This window comes from Homo sapiens, chromosome 7, assembly GCF_000001405.40.
Source record: "Homo sapiens chromosome 7, GRCh38.p14 Primary Assembly".
Lineage (NCBI taxonomy): Eukaryota > Metazoa > Chordata > Mammalia > Primates > Hominidae > Homo > Homo sapiens.
In genome coordinates, this window is record NC_000007.14 from 36,654,736 (window position 1) to 36,667,142 (window position 12,407).

At 39.8% G+C, this 12,407-nt stretch overlaps 1 protein-coding gene across 14 annotated transcripts in view, besides 1 other annotated feature; it reads right to left on the bottom strand.

The window, feature by feature from the left end:
* AOAH (acyloxyacyl hydrolase) overlaps positions 1 to 12,407 on the bottom strand; it is a 211,554-nt gene that overhangs the window by 141,795 nt on the left and 57,352 nt on the right. For all 14 annotated transcript variants that reach the window (NM_001177507.2, XM_011515334.3, XM_017012102.3 and 11 more), the window contains one exon: positions 4,431 to 4,530. In NM_001177507.2, the coding sequence (NP_001170978.1) occupies positions 4,431 to 4,530 (100 nt within the window). The remainder of the gene's footprint in view (positions 1 to 4,430; positions 4,531 to 12,407) is intronic.
* Positions 6,713 to 7,255: an enhancer, noted in NCBI's record as "OCT4-NANOG-H3K27ac hESC enhancer chr7:36701053-36701595 (GRCh37/hg19 assembly coordinates)". NCBI's record gives its function as "activates a minimal SCP1, AML or CMV promoter by ChIP-STARR-seq in naive H9 embryonic stem cells {active_cell/tissue: H9 hESC(naive)}" and the evidence as "EXISTENCE:reporter gene assay evidence [ECO:0000049][PMID:30033119]".

Sequence of the window (12,407 nt, forward strand, 5' to 3'; positions counted from 1 at the left end):
AGGAATTAGCTGGCCCAGGAGCAGTGGTTCCATTCAATGTGACAACACCTACGGAGTCTCAGTGAGGCAGAGAGCACGGTGAATGAGAATTTGGACTTTTAAGAAAAACAGACCCTAGATAAATCCTCTTGTATTCCTCACTAGCTGTATAGCCTGGGAAAATCCCTTAACTTCTCCAAGTCTCAAAATTCCTCAACTGTAAAATAAATATGGACCTAACAGCACAGTTAAATGAGATCACGCACGTTAAGTGCAGCGGCTGGCAGGCCATCAATAAATACCAACTTCTGCTATTTTCATTTTTATCCATATACCAAGTAAGTATGTGCCTGGCATGGTGGAGAGAACAAAGACAGACAGGCAAGGTACAGGCCTGCCCACCCCCATGTGCTTGCATCTTAGTGAGGAAATCTACGAAACTAGAAACTAGTATCTTGATGTCTCTCTGCCACACCTTCGTCATCTATAAAGGGTGGACAACAATACCTATTCCATAAGATTAAATGCATGAATACACATAAAGCATTTAGAACAATGTTAGCACATTATAAGTGCTCAAACAGTTATTTTACAATGATTATTCAAAGGAGAGTTAACATTTTGTTGGGATAGTTAGGAATTACTTTACAGAGAAGGTGACCATTGACATGAGCTTGAGGGATGGCATGGAGTTGATAAAGGTGATCTGGGTAGAGGGAATGATGAAGATCCAAGGTGTAGGGTGGGAGGGTTGGGGATGGCTCAAGGCAGAGCCAGTCACTTGCTGCTCTCTGCAGCACAGGATTCACAAACCTAAGAGGGAAAGGCAAGTCTGGAAAGGCTTTTGGAAGGTCCTGAAAAGCTAAGTGAAAATTTGTACTTAGTTGTGTAGGCAACGTGGAGATCCCAAACTATGTTCAGGATCATAAGTATGCCCTGGGAAAATCAGTGAGGCCTTCACATGAGGAAAGTCAGAATTTCCATCAGGGATGCAAATGAGAAGCTAGTGGCACTTTACCCGTTCATTGCGTCAATACACATTTCCTTGGTATGTGTGAGGCACCGTCCTAGACACTGGGTATAGAGTGGTGAACAAGACAGAATTTGCCTTCCTGGAGTTCAGAGGATAGTGGTAGAGACAGGCAGGCAGTCACACAGGAATATATCTTGTAAAGTGGCAAGTTCAAGAAAGGAATATACAGGAGCTATGATAAGAGGGCTATCTAATAGGGCCCGCCTCCCTGAAGAAGTGACATGTAAGCTGAGCCATGAACGATGGGGAGGAATAATCCACCAAGTGGAAGGACAGAGTGAGAAATTGCTTTCCAGGCAAAGGGTTGGGCTGGGGTGGAAGGTCATATTTTTCCTACAGCAAGGCATCTGTGGCATCAATGTGGAAAAAAATGTATTAGAAAGAAGGAAAGAGCAGATTTGGTTGGACTCACTGGGACAGTAGTGCAGGAGCTACATCAAAAGATGATTGGGGGAATTCTACATGAAATGATGCTGTTCACCCAACACGGGATGAAACTCACAGGTGGAAGAAGCCAGACACAAAGGAGCATATACCGCGCGAGGCCTTTGATACGACATTCAAGGATAGAGTTTCCTAAAAATGAACTAGCCGGTGGCGATAGACTTCAGAATAGTGGCTACTCTGGGGACTATTGACTAGGAGAGTCATGAGAATTCCTTCTGGAGGGCTGAACATTATCTACGTCTGCATTTGTGTCTTCACCCGCCCTTAGTAGGTAATGTTAGGTCAGCTGAGAGAAAGGACGAGAGAGAGAGACCCAAGTTTAGGCAAGCCTTTATTTAACTTGCCGGCTGCTCTACTACAGACAGAGGAGGCAGTCTTGAGCTTACAAAATGAGGGGTTTATATGGGGGAGAGAGACCCTGGGGTTGTATGTTGGTTAACTCTGCCACATATCACCTTGTGACGTTTATGTACCGAAGGATGTAAGTAAAGTTTGTTTACGTTTTTTATGACTTTTTTTTGTGCGACCTTCCCCTGTGCCATCTGGATGGTTTGTAATTGGGGTTTGCTTTATTGCTGCAAGGCCTGATAGGTAAAGTCTGCTGACTTCACCACGGCACCTAGATAAGGGCTTCGAAATGTAAAAAGGCTTGGGGGAAGGGGAGGGGTGGCACAAAGAGGTTTGGTGGGGGGTGTTGGCAGTACCAAGAAGCTTTTTTGGGGCAGTTTGTCCCTAACAGGTAGGTAATTCCACCTGAGCATTCATACGTGCTACGTAGGAGTGATTTGCAGAATGATAAAAAGGTCTGCTATATACCACTGAAAACTAGATGCTCAAAATGTAATGTTAAGGGAACAAAGTAGGGTATAAAATTGTATATGCATTATCATAACTCTCAAATAAATTCTCAATACAATATAATTTATTTGAAAAGTTAAAAGGAAACACACATTTCGACATCAGTTGTTTCTGGTGGTAGGATTTCAGCTGACTGTTGTAAGAAGACACCCCAGGGGAGTTTCTGAAACATTGACACCACGTTAGAGCTCAACCAATCTCTGAGTAGAACAACCGGGGTGTGAACCCAGTTCTGTTCTTTCCTCGGGAAGTGACTTTCAGGAAGTCACATAACTTCTCTAACCCTCAGTTTCCTCCACTGTAAAAAGGAGTCGAAATGACACCTCCAACCTAGGCCTGCTTGGGAACAAAACAAGATCAAGTGTGAGCCTCTACACCAGCACTGGGCCCAAAGTGAGTGCCCAGTCAATGTCAGTTACTACTATTCAGGGGAAGCTCAGAGGCAGAGGAGGGTGAAGCTGTCCATGTGTATACCCATTGTCCCTCTTTTCTGGGTCATCTGCAGAGATAGAGGCTGGAGAGGGGGACCCGAGGCAGAGGGTGAAGGCCTAGAACAGCCGTCAGAGGAAAGTGAAGGGGGCTGTCCAGGGAATCGTCACAGGCTGCCCAGCAGCACTGAATGCTAGCTGGGGTAGAAGGTGGCGGTTCCCACATGAAATCCTCCAATTCCCTTGCAGCCAGAGGCAGTCGAAATTTTACAGAGTTAGGAATTGAGAAGGGGGTCAGGGTAGGAAGACAAGGACATGAAATTTCAGAAGTAAACTCTAGAGAGTATAAAAATAAAGAATGCCATTTTAAATGGGACAATTTAAAGTTGAACTTTTTGCGACTATGTGTAGCTGTGGGTGTAATGTATACATGACATTATTATTTAAGGAAATCACAAAACCTGTGTCACTTGCATTTCTACACAGAGACCCATTTCTTCCTTGCAATATCAAACAGAAAATATTATGATATTATGATACAATAGTCACACGCTATTTGAACACATGAAAAGTTTTTTTTTTAATTAAAGTTAACTAACTCTTCTAGGTACCAGTGGAGCCTGCAGCTTCTCAGGTGGAATTAGGGGAAATTTAATTCGCACTTAGTCAGTGACAGAGGAAGCTTGAAATATACACGTTCCTCAGGTAGTTGCATCTCTTACTTCCTGCTCAAGGAGACAGGCTGATGTATTTAATACTGTCCATCAGCAAAATCATGGTCATTGGTTAGGCCACAAAGCACTAAAATGAACTTCATTTTAACATGAATAAAAAGGAAATTACAATTAAAATAGAAACCTATTGTGTTATATCCAGAAAAACTACAATTCAAGAAAGAAGGCAAAGAATTTTTTTTCACGGGCAGCTCCTGAAAATTAATATTCTGTGGCCTAACTGGATTCAATATTATCCTCTCATCCAGAGTGTGCGGAGGGAATTGTGTCAACATTTGCAGCCTCCTCTCCGCAATCTAATTAAAAGCTACACAAAATGATATAATGCACACAGGGTCCTCTGAACAGCTATCACTGAATAATAATGTTATCAATAATGATCATTTAGCAGTCATTTCTCTTAACACTTTAAAAACTGTATCAGTTATTGTGCTAAGCATTTTTTACATATTAGCTCACCGACTTCCCACAATAAACCACTGTGGGAGGTAGTTTATCATAACCCATTTTATGAGTAAGAGCAATAAGGCTCAGCGTAGGGTGACCAACTGCCCAGGATTTCCCAAGATGTGGGGCTTTCAGTGCTCATGGCAGGAAAGTCCTGGGCAAACTGGCATGAGTTGCTCACTCTGTGAGAGTGACTTGCTTGATTTTTAAGTGATAGGGATTTAAACCTCTGCGTCTCTTTGATCAGATTTCCTACCTACTGGCAGGCCAGCTCAAAATTACAGTCCACAATGGCTGAACAGCAAAGACATTCTTTCTAGCATGGTAGTATGGATCTAGGCCAAAATGCAGGAATATTATTTCTTGCGGGGTAATTGAAAATGTCATCTTGCCTCTCCCTGTCCCCAAAACACTGAGCGAGTAAAAGCTAAGCCTCCCTTTCTAACATTTCCAAAAGCCTTGCATGTCCCTGGAAACAGATGTTCAGAGTGATTACACACTCACCTTGGGAAGAGGGTAGAGATGACACAATGGTTGGCCAGTGTTCTGTTTACAAAACTCCAGAGTGTGACATACCACATCAGCATTCATATCTGCGCTAAGCCTGGAGGGAAACGGTGCAAAACAAAGGCTATTCAGATCTCTTAGGCATTAGGAAACAGAAGCTACTGCAAAGAAAGGTAAATCCCCAGAATGGATTCTAATACCCTCAACTCCTTGCAGAGTGGCCTTTGACCCCAATCCCGGGGAGCTGCTGGATGGTAATGATTTCCTGCCACTGTTGCTCTCTCCTGCATTTAGAATGAGGTCCTAAAGGCGAGGATGGGGCATGCACAGCACTGAGCTGCCAGTCAGCCTCTCACGCGAGTGCTGGGATTCTTTTCAGGCAAAGCCACACATAAAATTGGGAAAGAAAAAGTGGGCAGGGACGTAACTTGATGGAAACAATATTTTGAAGTTTGGGCCTTTGAAACATGGTAACCTTATAGTGAAAAATCATTTACGATATAGCCTTAAACACCTAACCTTACTTTCTTAGGCACAATCCAAACAATCTATTCTATTCCCTTATAAACATATTTCTTTTTTCTTTCTTTTTTTTTTTTTTTTTTCCTGCGAGAGGTCAGAGTTTTGTCAGGCCTCTGAGCCGAAGCTCGGCCATTATAACCCCTGTGACCTGCACATATCCGTCTAGATGGCCTGCAGGAGCCAAGAAGTCTGGAGCAGCCAAAGAAAAACTACAAAGAAGTAAAACAGCCAGTCCCTGCCTTAACTGAGTAAAATTACAATATTTTACTATCGTGACTTGTCCCTGCCCTATCTTAGTTGATCATTTGACTTTGTGACATTCTTCTTCTGGACAATAAGTCTTATGATCTCTCCACCATGTACCTTGCAACCCTCTCCTCTGCTAACAGTAAATAACTACCTTTTATTGTAATTTTCCATTACCTACCCAACTCCTATAAAGCAACCGCTTCCCCATCTCCCTTCGCTGACTGTCTTTTCGGACTCAGCCCACTTGCACCCAAGTGAATAAACAGCTTTATTGCTCACGCAAAGCCTGTTTGGTGGTCTCTTCACACGGACGTGCTTGACATTATTATTACTCAAATCAGTCTCCCCAATTATTTGGGAACAGAGTCTTTTGTTTGTTTGTTTTTGTTTTTTTGACGCAGAGTCTTGCTCTGTCGCCCAGGCTGGAGTGCAGTGGAATAATCTCTGCTAACTGCAACCTCCGCCCCCTGGGTTCAAGTGATTCTTCTGCCTCAGCCTCCCCAGCAGCTGGGATTATAGGCACCCACCACCATGCTTGGCTAAGTTTTATATTGTTTAGTAGAGATAGGGTTTCACTGTGTCGGTCAGGCTGGTCTCGAACTCTTGACCTCAGATGATACACCCACCTCGGCCTCCCAAAGTGCTGGGATTATAGGCATGAGCCACTGCACCAGGCTGGGCATATTTCTTATTCTTATGGAAGAAAGTACAATGTAACTGACTTGTTTGTTTCCCTGGGGATGGTATAAGGACAGTTCTTTTAAAACATTTAGTTTACATCTAGATTCAACGTATCTGATTCCATGTTCATTTTTTCTTTCCCACTCCCAAAACTCTTCTTACCAAGAAAAGTGAGTATAATTTTTCGAATGACATGAACAAGTATAAACTCTTATTACATTTTGAAGCAAATGTATAAACTCTTCTATAAGTAAAAACTCTACTTATATACTTCTTTAAGTATAAACTCTACTTATATACTTCTATAAGTATAAACTCTTATTACATTTTGAAGCAAATTATTGATTCAAACCACAAGTCAAACCAAGACAACAAAAACAAACAAATCCAGCAACACAGGTTGGTAATACCCAGAGACCAACCTTTGTATTCTGCGGAGGGACAGTGATGGAGTCTAGAAGAGACTTTCTTTGGGTTTCTTCCCAGCTCACATGACCACTTCACTGTTTTCCTTTGCCCGTTGGCGCAGGCTTCTGGTAACTGTGTTTATATGCCGTAGCTCCCAGCCAGTTGATTAGATCTCATTAAACTACTGTTTCAAGAAGGACCAATCTGATTCTTTCAAACATTTGGAATTGGTGTTAAAAATGTTCGGCTTCACCCTGGGCTACTCTCAGAATAAGAGAAGCTCGAGTGAGCTGGGATAGTGCTGTCGTAATTTCCTGCCAGGTGGACTGAGTATCTGGAAAGCCAGTCTGCAGGATGGGTTCTGAGGGCAGAACCCAGAGGACGTGCAGTGAGGAAGCTGGAAGAGAGCACACTCCCTGGGTTCCTTTGGTTTACTGTCCTATTTTCAGTCTCTTTCAGAGGCCTGGGTATTTTCCTGACCTTTAGTCCCCTGATCTGTGTGCCCTAGGTTCTTATAATAAATCCACTCCAACCTCTCCCCACCCAACTATTATAACAACTACCTCTACAATCACTGCAATGACTAACACCTCTCTTCTCTCCCTGAGCCTCCTCCACCTCCTCCTCTTTCCTTTTATCTTGTGATTGAAAGCAGTTAACAGCTCACACATGGGCCAACCCTTGAGCACTCCTGGGTTAGAATTGGAGTGCATGGCCCCTTTTAATCCCTGGCCTGAATGTGAGTCACTGAATTGGCTTGCTCCCTTCACTCTCCTCTCTGCTTTCTTTCCCTGATGCCCATTTCACAGACTCAATTGGGTTTGGTCTGCTCCACCAAAGGAATTTTACACCTGGGCATGCAGAATAACAAATGGAATTTAGAATGATAAAAAGCAAAGAAAACAAAACAGAAAAACACTCTTGATTTTCACTTTGTGAGTAAGCAGCAGTTGTAACGGTTGCTAAACATCAAAATATCCTTAAAAATCTCTAAAAATATTATCTTGTGACCGCTACACCTCCAAACACTGGGAGGAGCCTTGAGCATTTATTTCTACTGCGCACCTTCCAGTAGAAAGAACTACCCTGTGTTAATGAAAATGTATCTTAATGAAGCCCATCACAGAAAGGGGGGCCACCTTGGAAATCTCCAAATATTTTGAGGATAACCAATATGTGAAAACAGGCTGGAACCATGGCCACCCAAATTTAATTCCAGCTGAATGCAGCTAAAGGTGTGGCTGGCAAGATGGTTTATCACCCTTTTGTGAGCACCTGAGTTAAGAGGGAAATGCAGCGTTCATCGTGAAAGTCACCTGCTTAGCCCCAGGTCCCTTCAAGGGAAGTCAGGGGGTAAGACTGCAACTAAAAGTATCAAAGACGCCATCCCTTTTAAGCAGTGAAGCAGGCTGCTTGTTGCAGATAAAGTCCATTACCAAACTAATGTCTACCAGGGGTCAGTAAATCGAGAGGGTGGCTGTTTTCACACATCTGTTCTCAACTTAATTGTTCATTTATTTAGCTGATGACTGCTGTCTTTATGGGGGTCTGGTAGTTAGTGGACTCGAGAGTGATAAATAGGGCTCTGGTTAATCTTTGTTTTTAACCTAAGGCTAGTATCCCATCTGTGGCAATCCAGGACAAGCAGAGCCAACTCATCATGTGATATACAAGACCCATTCTCTTTTTCCTCCCTAATAGGGCACAACTTCAAGTAAGGCAACTTGAATGTGAGAGTGGAGATGTGGACCACTCAGAGAGTGAGGCTGGCCATCTCTGAGCTGGAGAGTAGAAGAGGGGAACTGGACATGTGGTGTCCCTCTAGGTCCTCTAAGATGATTTATCATCAAAAAGACATAAAGTGACAAGTAGTCCTTTGGATAAAGAGAGAAAATGCTGAACCCCATAAATCCACACAAATTTAAAACCACTAGAATGTGCAAGATGCATAAGAAGTGGCAGTATGGCATGTGTACTCTTGCTCAGCCTTGGGACAGAAGGCCTAAACTACGCCTCATTTGCTGAATCTTTAAGCAGTCTGCAAACTCATAGGAACAATTCCCACCTTTTCTCTTTCCTAGAGCAGCAAATAAAGCCAAGAGAGTCACATTTTTCATTTTTAAAAAGACTTTTTCTTTTGAGCAGTTTTAGGTTTACAGTGAAATTGAGAGGAAAATACAGAGATGTCCCATTGACCTCCTGCCCCGACACATGCACAGGCTCCCCTATTATCATTATCTGCCACCAGTAATTTCTTAAAATTGATAAACCCGCATTGACACATTATCATCGTCCAAAGTGTTTAGTTCACCTTAAGGTTCACTCTTGGTGTTGTATACTCTATGGGTTTGGACAAATGCATAATGACTTGTATTCACCATTACAGTATCATACAGATTAGATTACCACTGCCCTAAAAATGCTCTGTGTTATGCCTATTTGTCTCTCTCTCCATCCTAACCCCTGGTAACCACGGATATCTTTGTAGTCTCCATAGTTTTGCCTTTTCCAGGATGTCATATAGTTGGAATCATACTGCATGTAGCCTTTTCAGATTGTTTTTTCTCACTTAGTAACACGCATTTAAGTTTACTCCATGTCTTTTTATGACTTGAGAGCTCATTTCCTTTTATTGCTGAACAATATTTCATTGCGTGGCTGTACCACAATTTGTTTATATGATTGGACATTGTGGCTGCTTCCAGTCTTTGATGATTATGAATAATGCTACTATCCTTGTGCAAGTTTTTGTGGGGACATAAGTTTTCAGTTCAATTGGGTAAATACCCAGCGGTATGAATCCTGGCTTGTATGGTGAGACTATATTTTGTTTCATAAGAAACTATACTTTTTTTTCAGTTTTTTTAAATTTTAGCCATTCTATGAACAGTGGTATCTCATTGTTTTAATTTGCAGTCCTCTAACAACATATAATGTTGAGCTTCTTTTCATAAGTTTATTTGTTATCTGTATGTCTTTTTAAGTGAGGTGTCATTTAAGATCGTTAATTTTAGGTTCATTTTTTTTTTAAACTGGGTTGTTTGTCGTTGAGTTTTAAGAGTTTTTTTATGTGTCTATTTTGGATAACAGATCTTTATTAAATATATACTTTGCAAATAGTTTCTCTGAGTCTATTTATTTGTACTATGTAAAAAGTTATCACAAAACCCAAGGTCAACTAGATTTTCTCCTACACTTTTAGGAGTTCTGTAGTTTTGTTTTTTAAATTTATGTCTGTGATCCATTTTGAGTTCATTTTTGTGAAGGATGTAAGGTCTGTGTCTGGATTCATTTTTTTGCATGTAGATGTCCATTTGTTCCAACACCATCTGTTGAAATGACCATCTTTTTTTAAATCATATTACCTTTGCTCCTTTGTCAAAGGTCAGTTTACTGTATTTATGTGGGTCTATTTCTGGGCTCTCTATTCCATTCCATTGATTATTTGTCTGTCCTTTCACCAATACCCTGCTGTCTTGATTACTGTAGCTTTGTAGTAAGCCTGATTTCAAGTAGTATCAGTCCTCCAGCTTTGTTCTTCTCCTTCAATATTGTGTCGACCATTCTTGATCTTTTGCCTCTCCATATAAACTTTAGAATCAATGTGTCAATATCTATAAAATAATTTGCTGGGATTCAGATTGATATTGCATTGAATCTACATGTGTTAGGCTGTTTTGCATTGCCATAAAAAAATACTTGAGGCTGGGCAATTTATAAAGAAAAGAGGTTTACTTGGCTCACTGTTCTGCAGGCTGTACAAGCATGGCTCCAGCATCTCCTTTGAGTGAGGCCTCAGGAAGCTTTCAATCATGGTGGAAGGAAAAGGGTGAGTGGGAAGTATCACATGAAGAATGAAGAGAGCAGGAGTGAGAGAGTGAGGGGGAAAGTACCACACTCTTTTCAACAAACAAATCTCATGTGAACTCAGAGCACGAAGTCGCTCATTACCAAGGGGATGACACTAAACCCTTCATGAGGAATCTGCCCCCATTATCTAATACCTCCTACTAGGCCCTACCTCCAGCATGAGAAGTCACATTTCAACATGAGATATGGAGGGGACAAACATCCAAACAATATCACTACAGATCCAATTGGGAAGAAGTGACATCTTGACAGTATTGATTCCCTCTATTCATGAACATGGAACACCTTTTCATTTATCTAGTTATTTAATTTATTTCAATAAAGTGTTGTAGTTTTCCTCATATAGATCTTGCACATATTTTGTTAGATTTACACATAAGTATTTTATTTCTAGAGGTGATAATGTAAATGGTATCCTGTGTTTGATTTCAAATTCCACTTGTTCATTGTTGATATATAGGAAAGTGGTTCACTTTGTATATTAACTTTGTGTCCTGCAACCTTGCTATAATTGCTTATTAGTTCTAGAATTTTTTTTTTTTTTTGCCGATTCTTTTGGATTTTCCACATAGACAATCATGTCACCTGAGAACAAAGTTAGTTTTATTTCTTTCTTCTCAACCAGTAGACTTTTTATTTCCTCTCCCTCTTATTGCATTAGCTAGGACTTTCAGTACAATGTTGAAAAGAGTGGTGAGAGAAGCATCCTTGCCTTGTTCCTCATACTAGTGGGAAAGCTTCTAGTTCTCAGCATGAAGTATGATGTTCATTGTAGTCTTTTTGTAGATATTCTTTATCCAGTTGAGAAAGTTTCTCTCTAGTTATTTCTAGTTTACTGAGAGTTTTTTTTAAATCACAAATGAATATTGGATTTTGTTAAATGCTTTTTCTGTGTCTATTAATATAATCATGAGATTTTTCTTTTTGAGCCTGTTGATACGATGGATTACAATATTTGATTTTTGAATGTTGAACCAGTCTTGTATATTTAGGATAAATCTCACTAGTTGTAGCGTATAATTCTTTTTAAACATTTTTTATTTGATTTGCTAATATTTTGCCGAGGATTTTCCAATCTATATTCATGAGAGATATTGGTCTGTAGTTTTCTTTTCTTGTAATGTCTTTGTCTGGTTTTGGTATTAGGATGATGCTGACCTCATAGAATGAGTTAGGAAGTATTCTCTTAGCTTCTATCTTCTGAAATAGATTATAGAGACTTGGTATACCTTCTTTCCCAAATATTTGGTAGAATCTACCAGTGAATCTATCAGGGCTTCGTGTTTTTTGTTTTGGTAGATTATTAAATATTGATCCAATTTCTTTAATAGATATAGGCCTATTCAGATTGTCTATTTCTTCTTGTGTGTTTTGGCAGTTTGCGTCTTTCAAGGAATTGGCCCATTTCCTCTAGACTATCAAATTTGTGGGCATAGAATTATTCATAATATTTCTTGATTATCTTTTTAATATCTGTGGGATTTGTAGTGATGTCTTCTCTTTCAGTTCTGATATCAGTAGTTTGTGTTATCCCTCTTTTCCTTAGTTAGGCTGGCTAGAGGCTTATCAATTTTACTGATATTTTCAAAAAATCTAGCTTTTGGTTTAATTTTCTATTAATTTTCTATTTCTATATTAAATTTCTATTGATTTCCTATGGTCAATTTCCTTGTTTTCTGCTCAGATTTTTATTATTTATCTTGTGTTTACTTTGGATTTACTTTGCTCTTCATTTTCTAGTTTCTTAAGGTAGAAGCTTAGATGACTCATTTTAGGTTTTTATGTTTTTCTAATATAGTCATTCAATGCTACAAATTTCTGTTTAAGCACTGCTTTCACTTCATCACACGAATTTTGATAAGTTTTATTTTCAATTTTATTTAGTTCAAAATACCTTAAAATTTCTTTTGAGATTTCTTCTTAGGTTCATATGTTATTTAGAAGTGTTTAATCTCCATGTATTTTGTGATTTCTAGTTCTCTTTCTTTTACTGATTTCTAGTTTAATACCAATGTTATCTGACAGCAGACATTATATAATTTCTATTCTTTTAAATTAAAATGTGTTTTATGTCTCAGAATGTAATGTATCTTGGTGAATGTTTCATGTGAACTTGAGAAGAATGTGTATTCTGCTGTTGTTGGATAAAACAGTCCTTAAATGTCAATTATATCTGGTTGATTGATAGTGTTGTTGAGTTCAACTACAGTAGTCCCCCCTTATCTGAAGTTTTAATCTCCATGG